The sequence below is a fragment of the Homo sapiens genome, unplaced genomic scaffold (assembly GCF_000001405.40).
Source record: "Homo sapiens unplaced genomic scaffold, GRCh38.p14 Primary Assembly HSCHRUN_RANDOM_CTG11".
Classification (NCBI taxonomy): domain Eukaryota; kingdom Metazoa; phylum Chordata; class Mammalia; order Primates; family Hominidae; genus Homo; species Homo sapiens.
Window position 1 is genome coordinate 135,420 of NT_167214.1, and position 26,383 is coordinate 161,802.

Consider the following 26,383-nt stretch of genomic DNA (forward strand, 5'->3'; position numbering starts at 1 on the left):
TGCTCTTGTTGCTGTTGTTGTTGTTGTTGTTGTCGTCGTTGCTGTTGTCGTTGTCGTTGTTGTTGTCGTTGTCGTTGTTTTCAAAGTATACCCCGGCCACCGTTTATGGGATCAAAAGCATTATAAAATATGTGTGATTATTTCTTGAGCACGCCCTTCCTCCCCCTCTCTCTGTCTCTCTGTCTGTCTCTGTCTCTCTCTTTCTCTGTCTGTCTTCTCTCTCTCTCTCTCTCTGTGTCTCTCTCTCTCTGCCTGTCTGTTTCTCTCTCTCTGCCTCTCTCTCTCTCTCTCTCTCTCTGCCTGTCTCTCTCACTGTGTCTGTCTTCTGTCTTACTCCCTTTCTCTGTCTGTCTGTCGGTCTCTCTCTCTCTCTCTCCCTGTCTGTATGTTTCTCTCTGTCTCTGTCTCTCTCTCTCTTTCTGTTTCTCTCTCTCCGTCTCTGTCTTTCTCTGACTGTCTCTCTCTTTCCTTCTCTCTGTCTCTCTCTGCCTGTCTCTCTCACTCTGTCTTCTGTCTTACTCTCTCTCTCTGCCTGCCTGTCTCTCTCACTCTCTCTCTCTGTGTGTCTCTCTCTCTCTTTCTGTTTCTCTCTGTCTCTCTGTCCGTCTCTGTCTTTCTCTGTCTGTCTCTTTGTCTGTCTGTCTTTGTCTTTCCTTCTCTCTGTCTCTGTCTCTCTCACTGTGTCTGTCTTCTGTCTTAGTCTCTCTCTCTCTCTCTCCCTGTCTGTCTGTCTCTCTCTCTCTCTCCCCCTGTCTGTTTCTCTCTCTCTCTCTCTCTCTCTCTCTCTCTCTGTCTTTGTCTTTCTTTCTGTCTCTGTCTCTCTCTCTCTCTCTGTGTGTCTGTCTTCTGTCTTACTGTCTTTCTCTGCCTGTCTGTCTGTCTGTCTCTCTCTGTCTGTCTCTCTCTCTCTCTCCCCCCGTCGGCTGTTTCTCTGTCTCTGTCTGTGTCTCTCTTTCTGTCTGTTTCTCTCTGTCTGTCTTTCTCTCTCTGTCTCTTTCTCTCTGTCTCTCTGTCTGTCTCTGTCTCTCTCTCTGTCTCTCTCTCTCTGTGGGGGTGTGTGTGTGTGTGTGTGTGTATGTGTGTGTGTGTGTGTGTGTGTGTGTCTGCCTTCTGTCTTACTCTCTTTCTCTGCCTGTCTGTCTGCCTGTCTGTTTGTCTCTCTCTCTCTGCCTGTCTCTCTCCCTTCCTGTCTGTTTCTCTCTCTTTCTGTTTCTCTCTGTCTCTGTCCATCTCTGTCTTTCTCCGTCTGTCTCTTTATCTGTCTCTCTCCGTCTGTCTCTTTATCTGTCTCTCTCTCTCTTTCTGTCTTTCTCTCTCTGTGTATCGTTGTCTCTCTCTGTCTGTCTCTGTCTCTGTCTCTCTGTCTCTCTCTCTCTCTCTCTCTCTCTCTGTCTGTCTGTCCGTCTGTCTGTCTCGGTCTCTGGCTCTCGCTATCTCCCGCCCTCTCTTTTTTTGCAAAAGAAGCTCAAGTACATCTAATCTAATCCCTTACCAAGGCCTGAATTCTTCACTTCTGACATCCCAGATTTGATCTCCCTACAGAATGCTGTACAGAACTGGCGAGTTGATTTCTGGACTTGGATACCTCATAGAAACTACATATGAATAAAGATCCAATCCTAAAATCTGGGGTGGCTTCTCCCTCGACTGTCTCGAAAAATCGTACCTCTGTTCCCCTAGGATGCCGGAAGAGTTTTCTCAATGTGCATCTGCCCGTGTCCTAAGTGATCTGTGACCGAGCCCTGTCCGTCCTGTCTCAAATATGTACGTGCAAACACTTCTCTCCATTTCCACAACTACCCACGGCCCCTTGTGGAACCACTGGCTCTTTGAAAAAAATCCCAGAAGTGGTTTTGGCTTTTTGGCTAGGAGGCCTAAGCCTGCTGAGAACTTTCCTGCCCAGGATCCTGTGTGACCAAAAGTGCCTCTGCTGGGAGCTGGGATCCTCGGGACCATGCTTGCTAGCGCTGGATGAGTCTCTGGAAGGACGCACGGGACTCCGCAAAGCTGACCTGTCCCACCGAGGTCAAATGGATACCTCTGCATTGGCCCGAGGCCTCCGAAGTACATCACCGTCACCAACCGTCACCGTCAGCATCCTTGTGAGCCTGCCCAAGGCCCCGCCTCCGGGGAGACTCTTGGGAGCCCGGCCTTCGTCGGCTAAAGTCCAAAGGGATGGTGACTTCCACCCACAAGGTCCCCACTGAACGGCGAAGATGTGGAGCGTAGGTCAGAGAGGGGACCAGGAGGGGAGACGTCCCGACAGGCGACGAGTTCCCAAGGCTCTGGCCACCCCACCCACGCCCCACGCCCCACGTCCCGGGCACCCGCGGGACACCGCCGCTTTATCCCCTCCTCTGTCCACAGCCGGCCCCACCCCACCACGCAACCCACGCACACACGCTGGAGGTTCCAAAACCACACGGTGTGACTAGAGCCTGACGGAGCGAGAGCCCATTTCACGAGGTGGGAGGGGTGGGGGTGGGGTGGGTTGGGGGTTGTGGGGTCTGTGGCGAGCCCGATTCTCCCTCTTGGGTGGCTACAGGCTAGAAATGAATATCGCTTCTTGGGCGGAGGGGCTTCCTTAGGCCATCACCGCTTGCGGGACTACCTCTCAAACCCTCCCTTGAGGCCACAAAATAGATTCCACCCCACCCATCGACGTTTCCCCCGGGTGCTGGATGTATCCTGTCAAGAGACCTGAGCCTGACACCGTCGAATTAAACACCTTGACTGGCTTTGTGTGTTTGTTTGTTTCTGAGATGGAGTCTTGCTCTGTCCCCCAGGCTGGAGTGCAGTGGCGTGATCTCAGCTCACTGGAACCTCTGCCTCCTGGGTTCAAGTGATTCTCCTGTCTCAGCGCCACCATGGCCGGCTCATTTTTTTTTTTTTTTTTTTTGGTAGACACGGGGTTTCACCCTCTTTCATTGGTTTTCACTGGAGATTCTAGATTCGAGCCACACCTCATTCCGTGCCACAGAGAGACTTCTTTTTTTTTTTTTTTTTTTAAGCGCAACGCAACATGTCTGCCTTATTTGAGTGGCTTCCTATATCATTATAATTGTGTTATAGATGAAGAAACGGTATTAAACACTGTGCTAATGATAGTGAAAGTGAAGACAAAAGAAAGGCTATCTATTTTGTGGTTAGAATAAAGTTGCTCAGTATTTAGAGCTACCTAAATACGTCAGCATTTACACTCTTCCTAGTAAAAGCTGGCCGATCTGAATAATCCTCCTTTAAACAAACACAATTTTTGATAGGGTTAAGATTTTTTTAAGAATGCGACTCCTGCAAAATAGCTGAACAGACGATACACATTTAAAAAAATAACAACACAAGGATCAACCAGACTTGGGAAAAAATCGAAAACCACACAAGTCTTATGAAGAACTGAGTTCTTAAAATAGGACGGAGAACGTAGCTATCGGAAGAGAAGGCAGTATTGGCAAGTTGATTGTTACGTTGGTCAGCAGTAGCTGGCACTATCTTTTTGGCCATCTTTCGGGCAATGTAACTACTACAGCAAAATGAGATATGATCCATTAAACAACATATTCGCAAATCAAAAAGTGTTTCAGTAATATAATGCTTCAGATTTAGAAGCAAATCAAATGATAGAACTCCACTGCTGTAATAAGTCACCCCAAAGATCACCGTATCTGACAAAATAACTACCACAGGGTTATGACTTCAGAATCATACTTTCTCTTGATATTTACTTATGTATGTATTTATTTTTTTTAATTTATTTCTCTTGAGACGGCGTCTCGCTCTGTCGCCCAGGCTGGAGTGCGATGGTGTGATCTCGGCTCACTGCAACCGCCACCTCCCTGGGTTCAAGCGATTCTCCTGCCTCAGCCTCCCGAGTAGCTGGGACTACAGGTGCCCGCCACCACGCCCAGCTAATCTTTATACTTTTAATAGAGACGGGGTTTCACCGTGTCGGCCCGGATGGTCTCGATCTCTTGACCTCGTGACCCGCCCGCCTCGGCCTCCCAAAGTGCTGGGATGACAGGCGTGAGCCACTGAGCCCGGCCTTCTCTTGACGTTTAAACTATGAAGTCAGTCCAGAGAAACGCAATAAATGTCAACGGTGAGGATGGTGTTGAGGCAGAAGTAGGACCACACTTTTTCCTATCTTATTCAGTTGATAACAATATGACCTAGGTAGTAATTTCCTATGTGCCTACTTATACACGAGTACAAAAGAGTAAAACAGAGAGACTGCTAAATTAAAGGGTACGTGAAGTTCTTCATAGTAACTCCGTAAACTGGAACACTGTCAAAAAGCAGCAGCTAGTGAATTGTTTCCATGTATTTTTCTATTATCCAATAAGTGAACTATGCTATTCCTTTCCAGTCTCCCAAGCACTTCTTGTCCCCATCACCACTTCGGTGCTCGAAGAAAAAGTAACAAATCAAGGAACACAACTAAAGAAACACACACACAAACCAAAGACAACTACAGCGTCTGCAAAAGTTTGCTAGAAGACTGAAACTGTTGAGTATAAGGATCTGGTATTCTACGATCATGAGTTCACTTCAGAGTTTGTTCAAGACATACGTTTCGTAAGGAAACATCTTAGTTAGAAGTTATTCAGCAGTAGGTACCATCCCTAAGTATTTTTCACCAAATTCGTGACAATAAAGAGCTATCTAACCAGAAAAATTAGCGAGTACCGGCACCATCCATAGGGCTTTGTCTTTACGCTTCATTAGCACTTACCATGCCTCACAATGTCTAGGATTGACCCTGATAGCATTTCGAAAACAAGCTAATGCTTTGTCCAGTTCTTCAGTGAAGACAAGCTCACGCCCTAATGCGCTATAGGCATAAGCATCATTTGGATCCACTTCGAGAGTTCTCTGGAAGAATTGAATCGCAATATCGTGTTCCCGTTGCAGACCGAAACAGTTCCCTGCAGCACACCAGGCCTCTGGCTGGCGAATTTTTATCCATGTCTGTGAAGTCTTTGGACAGAACTGAAAGAGCAACCTCTTTCGGAGGATGCCAAAGTGTTGTAGAGTAGATCTCCATGCCTTCGACTCTGTAATTCTCAATCCTCCTAACCTCTGAGAATTGTCTTTCAGCTTGCGTGGACTCTGAAAGTTTACAATAGGCCCTTCCGATTTGGCACAGTACCCAACCGGTATTGCAGTGGTGAGAAGCTAGATGGCTCAAGATGCTGATAGCTTCTTTGCCGTGGTAAGAACACAAAGCTAAATAACCTTTCCCCCTTTCACGAAGAAGGCTCATCAAGCCTTCCGCTGCTGCTTTTTGTAGATTAAAAGCCTGAATCTGAGGCGCGATTGCGGCTATTTCCCCTTCTGAAATGACGGAAGAGTCCAATTTTGTCACTTCCAGGCTATCACTTATGTTCGGTGGAGTTATTGCTCCTTTATTAGTTTTACTTTTGGTTCTTCTGTTTGGGATTTTAGGTGGAAACTTCATTTTTAATTTTCTCCTATTCTCCTCGGTTGTGGAGCTGTCACTAGTCAAGAGTCGTGAATTTCTTCGAGGCGGTGCATTTGGGGGAGATGCCATAGTGGGGCTCAATACCTGAGGTGTTGCCCTTGTCGGCGGACCAGAACTTTGTGTTTTTGCAAGGACTGGAGTTACCTTTCGGCTCTTTCCCCTCTGCGAGAAGACAGACGGTGTTCCGGTTTGGCCGATTCTGGCAACAGGCTTTTTTGAAGGGGCTCCGGTGGATGGCACGTCAATGACAGACGGTGTCTCATACCAGTGCAGTTTTGTCAATAGGGTCCGTCTCCGGGACTTGGGGTTTCTAATGGCAAAATGCCAACGCTTGGGGTTAATGGACTAACAGCTGCTGGTCCTCCTAATAAACTTCGACCAGTTTTTGGTTTATGTTGAACCTGTTTAGATCATATGGAAGTTCCTGTTCCCAGTGGGACAGTATCAGGTGAAAGGACAGCTGAATCGATAGAAGACACTGGGGAGTCTGTATTCAAGGAGTACTTTGAATTGGAAGATTCTAAATTCCATCCGTTTCATTCGACGGTGTCCTGGGGTGTTTCCGTAAGAACGGTCTCGGGCTGTCTGTGACATAAACTAGGACGAGGTCCAAGTGTTGTGGCGCAACACTTGGACAGGCAGTTGCTAAAGCTCTCTAGAGAGGTGAATCAAAATGTTTGGTCAGGATCTGGCTTTTCCCCCCTATTTCACATCATGATTCAAAGGGACACCAGAGGAAAGGATTTCAACGAAGGCTCTTTTGGTCACATTCTGATCCTTTGGTAAGCCGATCTGTCTTGCAATATACATGTCCCGACGATGGAAGGGGAAAGCGAGCTGAATCACCAAACTCAGGAACGATAATATCATCGTGGCTTTTCTGCTTATGAAACACTCCACCCGATAAGATTTGATCCCCTTCTGCAAGCTTGCTGAGATCAACACAACATTTCGCAAGCAGGCATTTGCATTGCGGGGTAGTACAACTGTGTCCTTTCAAGAGTCTATATGTTTTATAGGCCTTTCCTGAGCGGTAAGAACAGGTCGCCAGTAAGAACAAGGCTTCTTCTGAGTGTACTTCTGCATAAAGGCGTTCTGCGGGGGAAACCGCATCTCGGTAGGCATAGTGGTTTAGTGCTTGCCATATAGCAGCCTGGACGGGTCCCTGCAGCACCGCCATCCTCGAGGCTCAGGCCCACTTTCTGCAGTGCCACAGGCACCCCCCCCCCCCCATAGCGGCTCCGGCCCGGCCAGCCCCGGCTCATTTAAAGGCACCAGCCGCCGTTACCGGGGGATGGGGGAGTCCGAGACAGAATGACTTCTTTATCCTGCTGACTCTGGAAAGCCCGGCGCCTTGTGATCCATTGCAAACGGAGAGTCACCTCGTGTTTAGAACACGGATCCACTCCCAAGTTCAGTGGGGGGATGTGAGGGGTGTGGCAGGTAGGACGAAGGACTCTCTTCCTTCTGATTCGGTCTGCACAGTGGGGCCTAGGGCTGGAGCTCTCTCCGTGCGGACCGCTGACTCCCTCTACCTTGGGTTCCCTCGGCCCCACCCTGGAACGCCGGGCCTTGGCAGATTCTGGCCCTTCCTGGCCCTTCAGTCGCTGTCAGAAACCCCATCTCATGCTCGGATGCCCCGAGTGACTGTGGCTCGCACCTCTCCGGAAACATTGGAAATCTCTCCTCTACGCGCGGCCACCTGAAACCACAGGAGCTCGGGACACACGTGCTTTCGGGAGAGAATGCTGAGAGTCTCTTGCCGACTCTCTCTTGACTTGAGTTCTTCGTGGGTGCGTGGTTAAGACGTAGTGAGACCAGATGTATTAACTCAGGCCGGGTGCTGGTGGCTCACGCCTGTAACCCCAACACTTTGGGAGGCCGAGGCCGTAGGATCCCTCGAGGAATCGCCTAACCCTGGGGAGGTTGAGGTTGCAGTGAGTGAGCCATAGTTGTGTCACTGTGCTCCAGTCTGGGCGAAAGACAGAATGAGGCCCTGCCACAGGCAGGCAGGCAGGCAGGCAGGCAGGCAGAAAGACAACAGCTGTATTATGTTCTTCTCAGGGTAGGAAGCAAAAATAACAGAATACAGCACTTAATTAATTTTTTTTTTTCCCTTCGGACGGAGTTTCACTCTTGGTGCCCACGCTGGAGTGCAGTGGCACCATCTCGGCTCACCGCAACCTCCACCTCCCGCGTTCAAGCGATTCTCCTGCCTCAGCCTCCTGAGTAGCTGGGATTACAGGGAGGAGCCACCACACCCGGCTGATTTTGTATTGTTAGTAGAGACGGCATTTCTCCATGTGGGTCAGGCTGGTCTCGAACTGGCGACCCCAGTGGATCTGCCCGCCCCGGCCTCCCAAAGTGCTGGGGTGACAGGCGTGAGCCATCGTGACTGGCCGGCTACGTTTATTTATTTATTTTTTTAATTATTTTACTTTTTTTTAGTTTTCCATTTTAATCTATTTATTTATTTACATTTATTTATTTATTTATTTATTTACTTATTTATTTATTTTCGAGACAGACTCTCGCTCTGCTGCCCAGGCTGGAGTGCAGCGGCGTGATCTCGGCTCACTGCAAGCTCCGCCTCCCGGGTTCACGCCATTCTCCTGCCTCAGCCTCCCAAGTAGCTGGGACTACAGGCGCCCGCCACCGTGCCCGGCTAACTTTTTGTATTTTGAGTAGAGATGGGGTTTCACTGTGGTAGCCAGGATGGTCTCGATCTCCTGACCCCGTGATCCGTCCACCTCGGCCTCCCAAAGTGCTGGGATGACAGGCGTGAGCCACCGCCCCCGGCCTATTTATCTATTTATTAACTTTGAGTCCAGGTTATGAAACCAGTTAGTTTTTGTAATTTTTTTTTTTTTTTTTTTTTTTTGAGACGAGGTTTCACCGTGTTGCCAAGGCTTGGACCGAGGGATCCACCGGCCCTCGGCCTCCCAAAAGTGCGGGGATGACAGGCGCGAGCCTACCGCGCCCGGACCCCCCCTTTCCCCTTCCCCCGCTTGTCTTCCCGACAGACAGTTTCACGGCAGAGCGTTTGGCTGGCGTGCTTAAACTCATTCTAAATAGAAATTTGGGACGTCAGCTTCTGGCCTCACGGACTCTGAGCCGAGGAGTCCCCTGGTCTGTCTATCACAGGACCGTACACGTAAGGAGGAGAAAAATCGTAACGTTCAAAGTCAGTCATTTTGTGATACAGAAATACACGGATTCACCCAAAACACAGAAAGCAGTCTTTTAGAAATGGCCTTAGCCCTGGTGTCCGTGCCAGTGATTCTTTTCGGTTTGGACCTTGACTGAGAGGATTCCCAGTCGGTCTCTCGTCTCTGGACGGAAGTTCCAGATGATCCGATGGGTGGGGGACTTAGGCTGCGTCCCCCCAGGAGCCCTGGTCGATTAGTTGTGGGGATCGCCTTGGAGGGCGCGGTGACCCACTGTGCTGTGGGAGCCTCCATCCTTCCCCCCACCCCCTCCCCAGGGGATCCCAATTCATTCCGGGCTGACACGCTCACTGGCAGGCGTCGGGCATCACCTAGCGGTCACTGTTACTCTGAAAACGGAGGCCTCACAGAGGAAGGGAGCACCAGGCCGCCTGCGCACAGCCTGGGGCAACTGTGTCTTCTCCACCGCCCCCGCCCCCACCTCCAAGTTCCTCCCTCCCTTGTTGCCTAGGAAATCGCCACTTTGACGACTGGGTCTGATTGACCTTTGATCAGGCAAAAACGAACAAACAGATAAATCAATAAAATAACACAAAAGTAACTAACTAAATAAAATAAGTCAATACAACCCATTACAATACAATAAGATACGATACGATAGGATGCGATAGGATACGATAGGATACAATACAATACGATACGATACAATACAATACAATACAATACAATACAATACAATACAATACAATACAATACAATACAATACAATACAATACAATACAATACAATACAATACGCCGGGCGCGGTGGCTCATGCCTGTCATCCCGTCACTTTGGGATGCCGAGGTGGACGCATCACCTGAAGTCGGGAGTTGGAGACAAGCCCGACCAACATGGAGAAATCCCGTCTCAATTGAAAATACAAAACTAGCCGGGCGCGGTGGCACATGCCTATAATCCCAGCTGCTAGGAAGGCTGAGGCAGGAGAATCGCTTGAACCTGGGAAGCGGAGGTTGCAGTGAGCCGAGATTGCGCCATCGCACTCCAGTCTGAGCAACAAGAGCGAAACTCCGTCTCAAAAATAAATACATAAATAAATACATACATACATACATACATACATACATAAATTAAAATAAATAAATAAAATAAAATAAATAAATGGGCCCTGCGCGGTGGCTCAAGCCTGTCATCCCCTCACTTTGGGAGGCCAAGGCCGGTGGATCAAGAGGCGGTCAGACCAACAGGGCCAGTATGGTGAAACCCCGTCTCTACTCACAATACACAACATTAGCCGGGCGCTGTGCTGTGCTGTACTGTCTGTAATCCCAGCTACTCGGGAGGCCGAGCTGAGGCAGGAGAATCGCTTGAACCTGGGAGGCGGAGGTTGCAGTGAGCCGAGATCGCGCCACTGCAACCCAGCCTGGGCGACAGAGCGAGACTCCGTCTCCAAAAAATGAAAATGAAAATGAAACGCAACAAAATAATTAAAAAGTGAGTTTCTGGGGAAAAAGAAGAAAAGAAAAAAGAAAAAAACAACAAAACAGAACAACCCCACCGTGACATACACGTACGCCTCTCGCCTTTCGAGGCCTCAAACACGTTAGGAATTATGCGTGATTTCTTTTTTTAACTTCATTTTATGTTATTATCGTGATTGATGTTTCGAGACGGAGTCTCGGAGGCCCGCCCTCCCTGGTTGCCCAGACAACCCCGGGAGACAGACCCTGGCTGGGCCCGATTGTTCTTCTCCTTGGTCAGGGGTTTCCTTGTCTTTCTTCGTGTCTTTAACCCGCGTGGACTCTTCCGCTCGGGTTTGACAGATGGCAGCTCCACTTTAGGCCTTGTTGTTGTTGGGGACTTTCCTGATTCTCCCCAGATGTAGTGAAAGCAGGTAGATTTGCCTTGCCTGGACTTGCCTGGCCTTGCCTTTTCTTTCTTTCTTTCTTTATTACTTTCTCTTTTTCTTCTTCTTCTTCTTCTTCTTCTTCTTCTTCTTCTTCTTCTTCTTCTTCTTCTTCTTCTTCTTCTTCTTTTTTTTTTGAGACAGAGTTTCACTCTTGTTGCCCAGGCTAGAGGGCAATGGTGCGATCTCGGCTCACCGCACCCTCCGCCTCCCAGGTTCAAGCGATTCTCCTGCCTCAGCCTCCTGATTAGCTGGGATTACAGGCATGGGCCACCGTGCCTGGCTGATGTTTGTACTTTTAGTAGAGACGGTGTTTTTCCATGTTGGTCAGGCTGGTCTCCCACTCCCAACCTCAGGTGGTCCGCCTGCCTTAGCCTCCCAAAGTGCTGGGATGACAGGCGTGAGCCACCGCGCCCAGCCTCTCTCTCTCTCTCTCTCTCTCTCTCTCTCTCTCTCTCTCTCGCTCGCTTGCTTGCTTTCGTGCTTTCTTGCTTTCCCGTTTTCTTGCTTTCTTTCTTTCTTTCGTTTCTTTCATGCTTGCTTTCTTGCTTGCTTGCTTGCTTTCGTGCTTTCTTGCTTTCCTGTTTTCTTTTTCTTTCTTTCTTTCTTTCTTTCTTTTGTTTCTTTCTTGCTTGCTTTCTTGCTTGCTTGCTTGCTTTCGTGCTTTCTTGCTTTCCTGTTTTCTTTCTTTCTTTCTTTCTTGCTTGCTTTCTTGCTTGCTTGCTTTCGTGCTTTCTTGTTTTCTCGCTTTCTTTCTTTCTTTTGTTTCTTTCCTGCTTGCTTTCTTGCTTGATTGCTTTCGTGCTTTCTTGCTTTCTTGTTTTCTTTCTTTCTTTTGTTTCTTTCTTTCTTGCTTCCTTGTTTTCTTGCTTTCTTGCTTGCTTGCTTTCGTGCTTTCTTGTTTTCTTGCTTTCTTTCTTTTGTTTCTTTCTTGCTTGCTTTCTTGCTTCCTTGTTTTCTTGCTTTCTTGCTTGCTTGCTTTCGTGCTTTCTTTCTTGCTTTCTTTTCTTTCTTTCTTTTCTTTTTCTTTCTTTCTTGCTTTCTTTTCTTTCATTCATTCATTCTTTCTTTCTTTCCTTTCTTTCTTTCTTTCTTTCTATCTTTCTTTCTTTCTTTCTTTCTTTCTTTCTTTCTTTCTTTCTGTTTCGTCCTTTTGAGACAGAGTTTCACTCTTGTTTCCACGGCTAGAGTGCAATGGCGCGATCTTGGCTCACCGCACCTTCCGCCTCCCGGGTTCGAGCGCTTCTCCTGCCTCAGCCTCCCGATTAGCGGGGATTACAGGGAGGCACCCCCACGCCTGGCTTGGCTGATGTTTGTGTTTTTAGTAGGCACGCCGTGTCTCTCCATGTTGCTCAGGCTGGTCTCCAACTCCCGACCTCCTGTGATGCGCCCACCTCGGCCTCTCGAAGTGCTGGGATGACGGGCGTGAGCCACCGTGCCCGGCCTGTTGACTCATTTCGCTTTTTTATTTCTTTCGTTTCCACGCGTTTACTTATATGTATTAATGTAAACGTTTCTGTACGCTTATATGCAAACAACGACAACGTGTATCTCTGCATTGAATACTCTTGCGTATGGTAAATACGTATCGGTTGTATGGAAATAGACTTCTGTATGATAGATGTAGGTGTTTGTGTTATACAAATAAATACACATCGCTCTATAAAGAAGGGATCGTCGATAAAGACGTTTATTTTACGTATGAAAAGCGTCGTATTTATGTGTGTAAATGAACGAGCGTACGTAGTTATCTCTGTTTTCTTTCTTCCTCTCCTTCGTGTTTTTCTTCCTTCCTTTCTTCCTTTCTCTCCTTCTTTAGGTTTTTCTTCCTCTCTTCCTTTCCTTCTTTCTCTCTTTCTGTCCTTTTTTCCTTCGTGCTTTATTTCTCTTTCGTTCCCTGTGTTTCCTTCTTTTTTCTTTCCTCTCTGTTTCTTTTTCCCTTCTTTCCTTCGTTTCTTTCCTCATTCTTTCTCTCTTTTTCGTGTTTCTTTCCTTCCCGTCTGTCTTTTAAAAAATGGAGTGTTTCAGAAGTTTACTTTGTGTATCTACGTTTTCTAAATTGTCTCTCTTTTCTCCATTTTCTTCCTCCCTCCCTCCCTCCCTCCCTCCCTGCTCCCTTCCCTCCCTCCTTCCCTTTCGCCATCTGTCTCTTTTCCCCACTCCCCTCCCCCCGTCTGTCTCTGCGTGGATTCCGGAAGAGCCTACGCATTCTGCCTCTCCGTGTGTCTGCAGCGACCCGCGACCGAGTCCTTGTGTGTTCTTTCTCCCTCCCTCACTCCCTCCCTCCCTCCCTCCCTGCTTCCGAGAGGCATCTCCAAACACCCACGCGCCGTGGGTTGTCTTCTGACTCTGTCGCGGTCGAGGCAGAGACGCGTTTTGGGCACCGTTTGTGTGGGGTTGGGGCAGAGGGGCTGCGTTTTCGGCCTCGGGAAGAGCTTCTCGACTCACGGTTTCGCTTTCGCGGTCCACGGGCCGCCCTGCCAGCCGGATCTGTCTCGCTGACGTCCGCGGCGGTTGTCGGGCTCCATCTGGCGGCCGCTTTGAGATCGTGCTCTCGGCTTCCGGAGCTGCGGTGGCAGCTGCCGAGGGAGGGGACCGTCCCCGCTGTGAGCTAGGCAGAGCTCCGGAAAGCCCGCGGTCGTCAGCCCGGCTGGCCCGGTGGCGCCAGAGCTGTGGCGCGTCGCTTGTGAGTCACAGCTCTGGCGTGCAGGTTTATGTGGGGGAGAGGCTGTCGCTGCGCTTCTGGGCCCGCGGCGGGCGTGGGGCTGCCCGGGCCGGTCGACCAGCGCGCCGTAGCTCCCGAGGCCCGAGCCGCGACCCGCGGGGACCCGCCGCGCGTGGCGCGGGAGGCTGGGGACGCCCTTCCCGGCCCGGTCGCGGGTCCGCGCTCATCCTGGCCGTCTGAGGCGGCGGCCGAATTCGTTTCCGAGTCCCCGTGGGGAGCCGGGGACCGTCCCGCCCCCGTCCCCCGGGTGCCGGGGAGCGGTCCCCGGGCCGGGCCGCGGTCCCTCTGCCGCGATCCTTTCTGGCGAGTCCCCGTGCGGAGTCGGAGAGCGCTCCCTGAGCGCGCGTGCGGCCCGAGAGGTCGCGCCTGGCCGGCCTTCGGTCCCTCGTGTGTCCCGGTCGTAGGAGGGGCCGGCCGAAAATGCTTCCGGCTCCCGCTCTGGAGACACGGGCCGGCCCCCTGCGTGTGGCACGGGCGGCCGGGAGGGCGTCCCCGGCCCGGCGCTGCTCCCGCGTGTGTCCTGGGGTTGACCAGAGGGCCCCGGGCGCTCCGTGTGTGGCTGCGATGGTGGCGTTTTTGGGGACAGGTGTCCGTGTCGCGCGTCGCCTGGGCCGGCGGCGTGGTCGGTGACGCGACCTCCCGGCCCCGGGGGAGGTATATCTTTCGCTCCGAGTCGGCATTTTGGGCCGCCGGGTTATTGCTGACACGCTGTCCTCTGGCGACCTGTCGCTGGAGAGGTTGGGCCTCCGGATGCGCGCGGGGCTCTGGCCTACCGGTGACCCGGCTAGCCGGCCGCGCTCCTGCTTGAGCCGCCTGCCGGGGCCCGCGGGCCTGCTGTTCTCTCGCGCGTCCGAGCGTCCCGACTCCCGGTGCCGGCCCGGGTCCGGGTCTCTGACCCACCCGGGGGCGGCGGGGAAGGCGGCGAGGGCCACCGTGCCCCCGTGCGCTCTCCGCTGCGGGCGCCCGGGGCGGCCGCGACAACCCCACCCCGCTGGCTCCGTGCCGTGCGTGTCAGGCGTTCTCGTCTCCGCGGGGTTGTCCGCCGCCCCTTCCCCGGAGTGGGGGGTTGGCCGGAGCCGATCGGCTCGCTGGCCGGCCGGCCGGCCTCCGCTCCCGGGGGGCTCTTCGTGATCGATGTGGTGACGTCGTGCTCTCCCGGGCCGGGTCCGAGCCGCGACGGGCGAGGGGCGGACGTTCGTGGCGAACGGGACCGTCCTTCTCGCTCCGCCCCGCGGGGGTCCCCTCGTCTCTCCTCTCCCCGCCCGCCGGCGGTGCGTGTGGGAAGGCGTGGGGTGCGGACCCCGGCCCGACCTCGCCGTCCCGCCCGCCGCCTTCTGCGTCGCGGGGCGGGCCGGCGGGGTCCTCTGACGCGGCAGACAGCCCTCGCTGTCGCCTCCAGTGGTTGTCGACTTGCGGGCGGCCCCCCTCCGCGGCGGTGGGGGTGCCGTCCCGCCGGCCCGTCGTGCTGCCCTCTCGGGGGGTTTGCGCGAGCGTCGGCTCCGCCTGGGCCCTTGCGGTGCTCCTGGAGCGCTCCGGGTTGTCCCTCAGGTGCCCGAGGCCGAACGGTGGTGTGTCGTTCCCGCCCCCGGCGCCCCCTCCTCCGGTCGCCGCCGCGGTGTCCGCGCGTGGGTCCTGAGGGAGCTCGTCGGTGTGGGGTTCGAGGCGGTTTGAGTGAGACGAGACGAGACGCGCCCCTCCCACGCGGGGAAGGGCGCCCGCCTGCTCTCGGTGAGCGCACGTCCCGTGCTCCCCTCTGGCGGGTGCGCGCGGGCCGTGTGAGCGATCGCGGTGGGTTCGGGCCGGTGTGACGCGTGCGCCGGCCGGCCGCCGAGGGGCTGCCGTTCTGCCTCCGACCGGTCGTGTGTGGGTTGACTTCGGAGGCGCTCTGCCTCGGAAGGAAGGAGGTGGGTGGACGGGGGGGCCTGGTGGGGTTGCGCGCACGCGCGCACCGGCCGGGCCCCCGCCCTGAACGCGAACGCTCGAGGTGGCCGCGCGCAGGTGTTTCCTCGTACCGCAGGGCCCCCTCCCTTCCCCAGGCGTCCCTCGGCGCCTCTGCGGGCCCGAGGAGGAGCGGCTGGCGGGTGGGGGGAGTGTGACCCACCCTCGGTGAGAAAAGCCTTCTCTAGCGATCTGAGAGGCGTGCCTTGGGGGTACCGGATCCCCCGGGCCGCCGCCTCTGTCTCTGCCTCCGTTATGGTAGCGCTGCCGTAGCGACCCGCTCGCAGAGGACCCTCCTCCGCTTCCCCCTCGACGGGGTTGGGGGGGAGAAGCGAGGGTTCCGCCGGCCACCGCGGTGGTGGCCGAGTGCGGCTCGTCGCCTACTGTGGCCCGCGCCTCCCCCTTCCGAGTCGGGGGAGGATCCCGCCGGGCCGGGCCCGGCGTTCCCAGCGGGTTGGGACGCGGCGGCCGGCGGGCGGTGGGTGTGCGCGCCCGGCGCTCTGTCCGGCGCGTGACCCCCTCCGCCGCGAGTCGGCTCTCCGCCCGCTCCCGTGCCGAGTCGTGACCGGTGCCGACGACCGCGTTTGCGTGGCACGGGGTCGGGCCCGCCTGGCCCTGGGAAAGCGTCCCACGGTGGGGGCGCGCCGGTCTCCCGGAGCGGGACCGGGTCGGAGGATGGACGAGAATCACGAGCGACGGTGGTGCGGGCGTGTCGGGTTCGTGGCTGCGGTCGCTCCGGGGCCCCCGGTGGCGGGGCCCCGGGGCTCGCGAGGCGGTTCTCGGTGGGGGCCGAGGGCCGTCCGGCGTCCCAGGCGGGGCGCCGCGGGACCGCCCTCGTGTCTGTGGCGGTGGGATCCCGCGGCCGTGTTTTCCTGGTGGCCCGGCCGTGCCTGAGGTTTCTCCCCGAGCCGCCGCCTCTGCGGGCTCCCGGGTGCCCTTGCCCTCGCGGTCCCCGGCCCTCGCCCGTCTGTGCCCTCTTCCCCGCCCGCCGCCCGCCGATCCTCTTCTTCCCCCCGAGCGGCTCACCGGCTTCACGTCCGTTGGTGGCCCCGCCTGGGACCGAACCCGGCACCGCCTCGTGGGGCGCCGCCGCCGGCCACTGATCGGCCCGGCGTCCGCGTCCCCCGGCGCGCGCCTTGGGGACCGGGTCGGTGGCGCCCCGCGTGGGGCCCGGTGGGCTTCCCGGAGGGTTCCGGGGGTCGGCCTGCGGCGCGTGCGGGGGAGGAGACGGTTCCGGGGGACCGGCCGCGACTGCGGCGGCGGTGGTGGGGGCAGCCGCGGGGATCGCCGAGGGCCGGTCGGCCGCCCCGGGTGCCGCGCGGTGCCGCCGGCGGCGGTGAGGCCCCGCGCGTGTGTCCCGGCCGCGGTCGGCCGCGCTCGAGGGGTCCCCGTGGCGTCCCCTTCCCCGCCGGCCGCCTTTCTCGCGCCTTCCCCGTCGCCCCGGCCTCGCCCGTGGTCTCTCGTCTTCTCCCGGCCCGCTCTTCCGAACCGGGTCGGCGCGTCCCCCGGGTGCGCCTCGCTTCCCGGGCCTGCCGCGGCCCTTCCCCGAGGCGTCCGTCCCGGGCGTCGGCGTCGGGGAGAGCCCGTCCTCCCCGCGTGGCGTCGCCCCGTTCGGCGCGCGCGTGCGCCCGAGCGCGGCCCGGTGGTCCCTGCCGGACAGGCGTTCGTGCGACGTGTGGCGTGGGTCGACCTCCGCCTTGCCGGTCGCTCGCCCTTTCCCCGGGTCGGGGGGTGGGGCCCGGGCCGGGGCCTCGGCCCCGGTCGCGGTCCCCCGTCCCGGGCGGGGGCGGGCGCGCCGGCCGGCCTCGGTCGGCCCTCCCTTGGCCGTCGTGTGGCGTGTGCCACCCCTGCGCCCGCGCCCGCCGGCGGGGCTCGGAGCCGGGCTTCGGCCGGGCCCCGGGCCCTCGACCGGACCGGTGCGCGGGCGCTGCGGCCGCACGGCGCGACTGTCCCCGGGCCGGGCACCGCGGTCCGCCTCTCGCTCGCCGCCCGGACGTCGGGGCCGCCCCGCGGGGCGGGCGGAGCGCCGTCCCCGCCTCGCCGCCGCCCGCGGGCGCCGGCCGCGCGCGCGCGCGCGTGGCCGCCGGTCCCTCCCGGCCGCCGGGCGCGGGTCGGGCCGTCCGCCTCCTCGCGGGCGGGCGCGACGAAGAAGCGTCGCGGGTCTGTGGCGCGGGGCCCCGGTGGTCGTGTCGCGTGGGGGGCGGGTGGTTGGGGCGTCCGGTTCGCCGCGCCCCGCCCCGGCCCCACCGGTCCCGGCCGCCGCCCCCGCGCCCGCTCGCTCCCTCCCGTCCGCCCGTCCGCGGCCCGTCCGTCCGTCCGTCGTCCTCCTCGCTTGCGGGGCGCCGGGCCCGTCCTCGCGAGGCCCCCCGGCCGGCCGTCCGGCCGCGTCGGGGCCTCGCCGCGCTCTACCTTACCTACCTGGTTGATCCTGCCAGTAGCATATGCTTGTCTCAAAGATTAAGCCATGCATGTCTGAGTACGCACGGCCGGTACAGTGAAACTGCGAATGGCTCATTAAATCAGTTATGGTTCCTTTGGTCGCTCGCTCCTCTCCTACTTGGATAACTGTGGTAATTCTAGAGCTAATACATGCCGACGGGCGCTGACCCCCTTCGCGGGGGGGATGCGTGCATTTATCAGATCAAAACCAACCCGGTCAGCCCCTCTCCGGCCCCGGCCGGGGGGCGGGCGCCGGCGGCTTTGGTGACTCTAGATAACCTCGGGCCGATCGCACGCCCCCCGTGGCGGCGACGACCCATTCGAACGTCTGCCCTATCAACTTTCGATGGTAGTCGCCGTGCCTACCATGGTGACCACGGGTGACGGGGAATCAGGGTTCGATTCCGGAGAGGGAGCCTGAGAAACGGCTACCACATCCAAGGAAGGCAGCAGGCGCGCAAATTACCCACTCCCGACCCGGGGAGGTAGTGACGAAAAATAACAATACAGGACTCTTTCGAGGCCCTGTAATTGGAATGAGTCCACTTTAAATCCTTTAACGAGGATCCATTGGAGGGCAAGTCTGGTGCCAGCAGCCGCGGTAATTCCAGCTCCAATAGCGTATATTAAAGTTGCTGCAGTTAAAAAGCTCGTAGTTGGATCTTGGGAGCGGGCGGGCGGTCCGCCGCGAGGCGAGCCACCGCCCGTCCCCGCCCCTTGCCTCTCGGCGCCCCCTCGATGCTCTTAGCTGAGTGTCCCGCGGGGCCCGAAGCGTTTACTTTGAAAAAATTAGAGTGTTCAAAGCAGGCCCGAGCCGCCTGGATACCGCAGCTAGGAATAATGGAATAGGACCGCGGTTCTATTTTGTTGGTTTTCGGAACTGAGGCCATGATTAAGAGGGACGGCCGGGGGCATTCGTATTGCGCCGCTAGAGGTGAAATTCTTGGACCGGCGCAAGACGGACCAGAGCGAAAGCATTTGCCAAGAATGTTTTCATTAATCAAGAACGAAAGTCGGAGGTTCGAAGACGATCAGATACCGTCGTAGTTCCGACCATAAACGATGCCGACCGGCGATGCGGCGGCGTTATTCCCATGACCCGCCGGGCAGCTTCCGGGAAACCAAAGTCTTTGGGTTCCGGGGGGAGTATGGTTGCAAAGCTGAAACTTAAAGGAATTGACGGAAGGGCACCACCAGGAGTGGAGCCTGCGGCTTAATTTGACTCAACACGGGAAACCTCACCCGGCCCGGACACGGACAGGATTGACAGATTGATAGCTCTTTCTCGATTCCGTGGGTGGTGGTGCATGGCCGTTCTTAGTTGGTGGAGCGATTTGTCTGGTTAATTCCGATAACGAACGAGACTCTGGCATGCTAACTAGTTACGCGACCCCCGAGCGGTCGGCGTCCCCCAACTTCTTAGAGGGACAAGTGGCGTTCAGCCACCCGAGATTGAGCAATAACAGGTCTGTGATGCCCTTAGATGTCCGGGGCTGCACGCGCGCTACACTGACTGGCTCAGCGTGTGCCTACCCTACGCCGGCAGGCGCGGGTAACCCGTTGAACCCCATTCGTGATGGGGATCGGGGATTGCAATTATTCCCCATGAACGAGGAATTCCCAGTAAGTGCGGGTCATAAGCTTGCGTTGATTAAGTCCCTGCCCTTTGTACACACCGCCCGTCGCTACTACCGATTGGATGGTTTAGTGAGGCCCTCGGATCGGCCCCGCCGGGGTCGGCCCACGGCCCTGGCGGAGCGCTGAGAAGACGGTCGAACTTGACTATCTAGAGGAAGTAAAAGTCGTAACAAGGTTTCCGTAGGTGAACCTGCGGAAGGATCATTAACGGAGCCCGGAGGGCGAGGCCCGCGGCGGCGCCGCCGCCGCCGCGCGCTTCCCTCCGCACACCCACCCCCCCACCGCGACGCGGCGCGTGCGCGGGCGGGGCCCGCGTGCCCGTTCGTTCGCTCGCTCGTTCGTTCGCCGCCCGGCCCCGCCGGCCGCGAGAGCCGGAGAACTCGGGAGGGAGACGGGGGAGAGAGAGAGAGAGAGAGAAAGAGAAAGAAGGGCGTGTCGTTGGTGTGCGCGTGTCGTGGGGCCGGCGGGCGGCGGGGAGCGGTCCCCGGCCGCGGCCCCGACGACGTGGGTGTCGGCGGGCGCGGGGGCGGTTCTCGGCGGCGTCGCGGCGGGTCTGGGGGGGTCTCGGTGCCCTCCTCCCCGCCGGGGCCCGTCGTCCGGCCCCGCCGCGCCGGCTCCCCGTCTTCGGGGCCGGCCGGATTCCCGTCGCCTCCGCCGCGCCGCTCCGCGCCGCCGGGCACGGCCCCGCTCGCTCTCCCCGGCCTTCCCGCTAGGGCGTCTCGAGGGTCGGGGGCCGGACGCCGGTCCCCTCCCCCGCCTCCTCGTCCGCCCCCCCGCCGTCCAGGTACCTAGCGCGTTCCGGCGCGGAGGTTTAAAGACCCCTTGGGGGGATCGCCCGTCCGCCCGTGGGTCGGGGGCGGTGGTGGGCCCGCGGGGGAGTCCCGTCGGGAGGGGCCCGGCCCCTCCCGCGCCTCCACCGCGGACTCCGCTCCCCGGCCGGGGCCGCGCCGCCGCCGCCGCCGCGGCGGCCGTCGGGTGGGGGCTTTACCCGGCGGCCGTCGCGCGCCTGCCGCGCGTGTGGCGTGCGCCCCGCGCCGTGGGGGCGGGAACCCCCGGGCGCCTGTGGGGTGGTGTCCGCGCTCGCCCCCGCGTGGGCGGCGCGCGCCTCCCCGTGGTGTGAAACCTTCCGACCCCTCTCCGGAGTCCGGTCCCGTTTGCTGTCTCGTCTGGCCGGCCTGAGGCAACCCCCTCTCCTCTTGGGCGGGGGGGGGGGGGACGTGCCGCGCCAGGAAGGGCCTCCTCCCGGTGCGTCGTCGGGAGCGCCCTCGCCAAATCGACCTCGTACGACTCTTAGCGGTGGATCACTCGGCTCGTGCGTCGATGAAGAACGCAGCTAGCTGCGAGAATTAATGTGAATTGCAGGACACATTGATCATCGACACTTCGAACGCACTTGCGGCCCCGGGTTCCTCCCGGGGCTACGCCTGTCTGAGCGTCGCTTGCCGATCAATCGCCCCCGGGGGTGCCTCCGGGCTCCTCGGGGTGCGCGGCTGGGGGTTCCCTCGCAGGGCCCGCCGGGGGCCCTCCGTCCCCCTAAGCGCAGACCCGGCGGCGTCCGCCCTCCTCTTGCCGCCGCGCCCGCCCCTTCCCCCTCCCCCCGCGGGCCCTGCGTGGTCACGCGTCGGGTGGCGGGGGGGAGAGGGGGGCGCGCCCGGCTGAGAGAGACGGGGAGGGCGGCGCCGCCGCCGCCCGCGAAGACGGAGAGGGAAAGAGAGAGCCGGCTCGGGCCGAGTTCCCGTGGCCGCCGCCTGCGGTCCGGGTTCCTCCCTCGGGGGGCTCCCTCGCGCCGCGCGCGGCTCGGGGTTCGGGGTTCGTCGGCCCCGGCCGGGTGGAAGGTCCCGTGCCCGTCGTCGTCGTCGTCGTCGCGCGTCGTCGGCGGTGGGGGCGTGTTGCGTGCGGTGTGGTGGTGGGGGAGGAGGAAGGCGGGTCCGGAAGGGGAAGGGTGCCGGCGGGGAGAGAGGGTCGGGGGAGCGCGTCCCGGTCGCCGCGGTTCGCCGCCCGCCCCCGGTGGCGGCCCGGCGTCCGGCCGACCGCCGCTCCCGCGCCCCTCCTCCTCCCCGCCGCCCCTCCTCCGAGGCCCCGCCCGTCCTCCTCGCCCTCCCCGCGCGTACGCGCGCCCGCCCGCCCGGCTCGCCTCGCGGCGCGTCGGCCGGGGCCGGGAGCCCGCCCCGCGGCCCGCCCGGCCGCGCCCGTGGCCGCGGCGCCGGGGTTCGCGTGTCCCCGGCGGCGACCCGCGGGACGCCGCGGTGTCGTCCGCCGTCGCGCGCCCGCCTCCGGCTCGCGGCCGCGCCGCGCCGCGCCGGGGCCCCGTCCCGAGCTTCCGCGTCGGGGCGGGGCGGCTCCGCCGCCGCGTCCTCGGACCCGTCCCCCCGACCTCCGCGGGGGAGACGGGTCGGGGCGTGCGGCGCCCGTCCCGCCCCCGGCCCGTGCCCCTCCCTCCGGTCGTCCCGCTCCGGCGGGGCGGCGCGGGGGTGCCGCCGGCCGCGCGCTCTCTCTCCCGTCGCCTCTCCCCCTCGCCGGGCCCGTCTCCCGACGGAGCGTCGGGCGGGCGGTCGGGCCGGCGCGATTCCGTCCGTCCGTCCGCCGAGCGGCCCGTCCCCCTCCGAGACGCGACCTCAGATCAGACGTGGCGACCCGCTGAATTTAAGCATATTAGTCAGCGGAGGAGAAGAAACTAACCAGGATTCCCTCAGTAACGGCGAGTGAACAGGGAAGAGCCCAGCGCCGAATCCCCGCCCCGCGGCGGGGCGCGGGACATGTGGCGTACGGAAGACCCGCTCCCCGGCGCCGCTCGTGGGGGGCCCAAGTCCTTCTGATCGAGGCCCAGCCCGTGGACGGTGTGAGGCCGGTAGCGGCCCCCGGCGCGCCGGGCCCGGGTCTTCCCGGAGTCGGGTTGCTTGGGAATGCAGCCCAAAGCGGGTGGTAAACTCCATCTAAGGCTAAATACCGGCACGAGACCGATAGTCAACAAGTACCGTAAGGGAAAGTTGAAAAGAACTTTGAAGAGAGAGTTCAAGAGGGCGTGAAACCGTTAAGAGGTAAACGGGTGGGGTCCGCGCAGTCCGCCCGGAGGATTCAACCCGGCGGCGGGTCCGGCCGTGTCGGCGGCCCGGCGGATCTTTCCCGCCCCCCGTTCCTCCCGACCCCTCCACCCGCCCTCCCTTCCCCCGCCGCCCCTCCTCCTCCTCCCCGGAGGGGGCGGGCTCCGGCGGGTGCGGGGGTGGGCGGGCGGGGCCGGGGGTGGGGTCGGCGGGGGACCGTCCCCCGACCGGCGACCGGCCGCCGCCGGGCGCATTTCCACCGCGGCGGTGCGCCGCGACCGGCTCCGGGACGGCTGGGAAGGCCCGGCGGGGAAGGTGGCTCGGGGGGCCCCGTCCGTCCGTCCGTCCGTCCTCCTCCTCCCCCGTCTCCGCCCCCCGGCCCCGCGTCCTCCCTCGGGAGGGCGCGCGGGTCGGGGCGGCGGCGGCGGCGGCGGTGGCGGCGGCGGCGGCGGCGGCGGGACCGAAACCCCCCCCGAGTGTTACAGCCCCCCCGGCAGCAGCACTCGCCGAATCCCGGGGCCGAGGGAGCGAGACCCGTCGCCGCGCTCTCCCCCCTCCCGGCGCCCACCCCCGCGGGGAATCCCCCGCGAGGGGGGTCTCCCCCGCGGGGGCGCGCCGGCGTCTCCTCGTGGGGGGGCCGGGCCACCCCTCCCACGGCGCGACCGCTCTCCCACCCCTCCTCCCCGCGCCCCCGCCCCGGCGACGGGGGGGGTGCCGCGCGCGGGTCGGGGGGCGGGGCGGACTGTCCCCAGTGCGCCCCGGGCGGGTCGCGCCGTCGGGCCCGGGGGAGGTTCTCTCGGGGCCACGCGCGCGTCCCCCGAAGAGGGGGACGGCGGAGCGAGCGCACGGGGTCGGCGGCGACGTCGGCTACCCACCCGACCCGTCTTGAAACACGGACCAAGGAGTCTAACACGTGCGCGAGTCGGGGGCTCGCACGAAAGCCGCCGTGGCGCAATGAAGGTGAAGGCCGGCGCGCTCGCCGGCCGAGGTGGGATCCCGAGGCCTCTCCAGTCCGCCGAGGGCGCACCACCGGCCCGTCTCGCCCGCCGCGCCGGGGAGGTGGAGCACGAGCGCACGTGTTAGGACCCGAAAGATGGTGAACTATGCCTGGGCAGGGCGAAGCCAGAGGAAACTCTGGTGGAGGTCCGTAGCGGTCCTGACGTGCAAATCGGTCGTCCGACCTGGGTATAGGGGCGAAAGACTAATCGAACCATCTAGTAGCTGGTTCCCTCCGAAGTTTCCCTCAGGATAGCTGGCGCTCTCGCAGACCCGACGCACCCCCGCCACGCAGTTTTATCCGGTAAAGCGAATGATTAGAGGTCTTGGGGCCGAAACGATCTCAACCTATTCTCAAACTTTAAATGGGTAAGAAGCCCGGCTCGCTGGCGTGGAGCCGGGCGTGGAATGCGAGTGCCTAGTGGGCCACTTTTGGTAAGCAGAACTGGCGCTGCGGGATGAACCGAACGCCGGGTTAAGGCGCCCGATGCCGACGCTCATCAGACCCCAGAAAAGGTGTTGGTTGATATAGACAGCAGGACGGTGGCCATGGAAGTCGGAATCCGCTAAGGAGTGTGTAACAACTCACCTGCCGAATCAACTAGCCCTGAAAATGGATGGCGCTGGAGCGTCGGGCCCATACCCGGCCGTCGCCGGCAGTCGAGAGTGGACGGGAGCGGCGGGGGCGGCGCGCGCGCGCGCGCGTGTGGTGTGCGTCGGAGGGCGGCGGCGGCGGCGGCGGCGGGGGTGTGGGGTCCTTCCCCCGCCCCCCCCCCCACGCCTCCTCCCCTCCTCCCGCCCACGCCCCGCTCCCCGCCCCCGGAGCCCCGCGGACGCTACGCCGCGACGAGTAGGAGGGCCGCTGCGGTGAGCCTTGAAGCCTAGGGCGCGGGCCCGGGTGGAGCCGCCGCAGGTGCAGATCTTGGTGGTAGTAGCAAATATTCAAACGAGAACTTTGAAGGCCGAAGTGGAGAAGGGTTCCATGTGAACAGCAGTTGAACATGGGTCAGTCGGTCCTGAGAGATGGGCGAGCGCCGTTCCGAAGGGACGGGCGATGGCCTCCGTTGCCCTCGGCCGATCGAAAGGGAGTCGGGTTCAGATCCCCGAATCCGGAGTGGCGGAGATGGGCGCCGCGAGGCGTCCAGTGCGGTAACGCGACCGATCCCGGAGAAGCCGGCGGGAGCCCCGGGGAGAGTTCTCTTTTCTTTGTGAAGGGCAGGGCGCCCTGGAATGGGTTCGCCCCGAGAGAGGGGCCCGTGCCTTGGAAAGCGTCGCGGTTCCGGCGGCGTCCGGTGAGCTCTCGCTGGCCCTTGAAAATCCGGGGGAGAGGGTGTAAATCTCGCGCCGGGCCGTACCCATATCCGCAGCAGGTCTCCAAGGTGAACAGCCTCTGGCATGTTGGAACAATGTAGGTAAGGGAAGTCGGCAAGCCGGATCCGTAACTTCGGGATAAGGATTGGCTCTAAGGGCTGGGTCGGTCGGGCTGGGGCGCGAAGCGGGGCTGGGCGCGCGCCGCGGCTGGACGAGGCGCCGCCGCCCCCCCCACGCCCGGGGCACCCCCCTCGCGGCCCTCCCCCGCCCCACCCCGCGCGCGCCGCTCGCTCCCTCCCCGCCCCGCGCCCTCTCTCTCTCTCTCTCCCCCGCTCCCCGTCCTCCCCCCTCCCCGGGGGAGCGCCGCGTGGGGGCGGCGGCGGGGGGAGAAGGGTCGGGGCGGCAGGGGCCGGCGGCGGCCCGCCGCGGGGCCCCGGCGGCGGGGGCACGGTCCCCCGCGAGGGGGGCCCGGGCACCCGGGGGGCCGGCGGCGGCGGCGACTCTGGACGCGAGCCGGGCCCTTCCCGTGGATCGCCCCAGCTGCGGCGGGCGTCGCGGCCGCCCCCGGGGAGCCCGGCGGGCGCCGGCGCGCCCCCCCCCCCACCCCACGTCTCGTCGCGCGCGCGTCCGCTGGGGGCGGGGAGCGGTCGGGCGGCGGCGGTCGGCGGGCGGCGGGGCGGGGCGGTTCGTCCCCCCGCCCTACCCCCCCGGCCCCGTCCGCCCCCCGTTCCCCCCTCCTCCTCGGCGCGCGGCGGCGGCGGCGGCAGGCGGCGGAGGGGCCGCGGGCCGGTCCCCCCCGCCGGGTCCGCCCCCGGGGCCGCGGTTCCGCGCGGCGCCTCGCCTCGGCCGGCGCCTAGCAGCCGACTTAGAACTGGTGCGGACCAGGGGAATCCGACTGTTTAATTAAAACAAAGCATCGCGAAGGCCCGCGGCGGGTGTTGACGCGATGTGATTTCTGCCCAGTGCTCTGAATGTCAAAGTGAAGAAATTCAATGAAGCGCGGGTAAACGGCGGGAGTAACTATGACTCTCTTAAGGTAGCCAAATGCCTCGTCATCTAATTAGTGACGCGCATGAATGGATGAACGAGATTCCCACTGTCCCTACCTACTATCCAGCGAAACCACAGCCAAGGGAACGGGCTTGGCGGAATCAGCGGGGAAAGAAGACCCTGTTGAGCTTGACTCTAGTCTGGCACGGTGAAGAGACATGAGAGGTGTAGAATAAGTGGGAGGCCCCCGGCGCCCCCCCGGTGTCCCCGCGAGGGGCCCGGGGCGGGGTCCGCCGGCCCTGCGGGCCGCCGGTGAAATACCACTACTCTGATCGTTTTTTCACTGACCCGGTGAGGCGGGGGGGCGAGCCCCGAGGGGCTCTCGCTTCTGGCGCCAAGCGCCCGGCCGCGCGCCGGCCGGGCGCGACCCGCTCCGGGGACAGTGCCAGGTGGGGAGTTTGACTGGGGCGGTACACCTGTCAAACGGTAACGCAGGTGTCCTAAGGCGAGCTCAGGGAGGACAGAAACCTCCCGTGGAGCAGAAGGGCAAAAGCTCGCTTGATCTTGATTTTCAGTACGAATACAGACCGTGAAAGCGGGGCCTCACGATCCTTCTGACCTTTTGGGTTTTAAGCAGGAGGTGTCAGAAAAGTTACCACAGGGATAACTGGCTTGTGGCGGCCAAGCGTTCATAGCGACGTCGCTTTTTGATCCTTCGATGTCGGCTCTTCCTATCATTGTGAAGCAGAATTC

General features: G+C 60.8%; 4 pseudogenes, besides 10 other annotated features; 3 read left to right on the forward strand and 1 right to left on the reverse strand.

The window, feature by feature from the left end:
• On the reverse strand, positions 4,716 to 6,788 carry LOC100286895 (cell division cycle 27 homolog pseudogene; annotated as a pseudogene).
• Positions 6,405 to 6,883: an origin of replication, noted in NCBI's record as "CHB (probe 7); HindIII/BamHI fragment; detected by hybridization of labeled, size-fractionated nascent DNA to discrete probes". NCBI's record gives its function as "major site of nascent strand synthesis" and the evidence as "EXISTENCE:nucleotide analog incorporation evidence [ECO:0001107][PMID:7739533]".
• Positions 6,405 to 17,146: a biological region, named in NCBI's record as "origin of replication in ribosomal DNA intergenic spacer".
• Positions 6,448 to 6,623: an origin of replication, noted in NCBI's record as "amplicon 5; detected by PCR of size-fractionated nascent DNA". NCBI's record gives its function as "minor peak of nascent strand synthesis" and the evidence as "EXISTENCE:fractionation evidence [ECO:0000100][PMID:16721058]".
• Positions 7,942 to 7,971: a nucleotide motif, noted in NCBI's record as "nucleotide motif; similar to yeast ARS consensus sequence (ACS)". NCBI's record gives the evidence for it as "COORDINATES:sequence similarity evidence [ECO:0000044][PMID:19633418]".
• Positions 8,424 to 8,784: an origin of replication, noted in NCBI's record as "amplicon 7; detected by PCR of size-fractionated nascent DNA". NCBI's record gives its function as "peak of nascent strand synthesis in early and late S phase" and the evidence as "EXISTENCE:fractionation evidence [ECO:0000100][PMID:16082215, PMID:16721058]".
• Positions 9,721 to 9,744: a protein binding site, noted in NCBI's record as "31 bp probe used to isolate proteins subject to MALDI-TOF analysis". NCBI's record gives the evidence for it as "EXISTENCE:DNA affinity chromatography evidence [ECO:0001809][PMID:19633418]".
• Positions 9,726 to 9,743: a nucleotide motif, noted in NCBI's record as "nucleotide motif; similar to yeast ARS consensus sequence (ACS)". NCBI's record gives the evidence for it as "COORDINATES:sequence similarity evidence [ECO:0000044][PMID:19633418]".
• Positions 10,160 to 10,172: a sequence secondary structure, noted in NCBI's record as "intrinsic bending region; MboII site marking center of DNA bending; detected by analyzing electrophoretic mobilities of restriction fragments (circular permutation analysis)". NCBI's record gives the evidence for it as "EXISTENCE:gel electrophoresis evidence [ECO:0000337][PMID:16721058]".
• Positions 10,181 to 10,509: an origin of replication, noted in NCBI's record as "amplicon 10; detected by PCR of size-fractionated nascent DNA". NCBI's record gives its function as "peak of nascent strand synthesis in mid-late S phase" and the evidence as "EXISTENCE:fractionation evidence [ECO:0000100][PMID:16082215, PMID:16721058]".
• Positions 12,064 to 17,146: an origin of replication, noted in NCBI's record as "region spanning probes Corb and Bsn; detected by hybridization of discrete probes to labeled nascent DNA isolated from cell-cycle synchronized cells". NCBI's record gives its function as "major site of early S phase replication" and the evidence as "EXISTENCE:nucleotide analog incorporation evidence [ECO:0001107][PMID:9358159]".
• On the forward strand, positions 17,631 to 19,499 carry RNA18SP3 (RNA, 18S ribosomal pseudogene 3; annotated as a pseudogene).
• On the forward strand, positions 20,577 to 20,733 carry RNA5-8SP8 (RNA, 5.8S ribosomal pseudogene 8; annotated as a pseudogene).
• Positions 21,915 to 26,383, forward strand: LOC124905315 (uncharacterized; annotated as a pseudogene).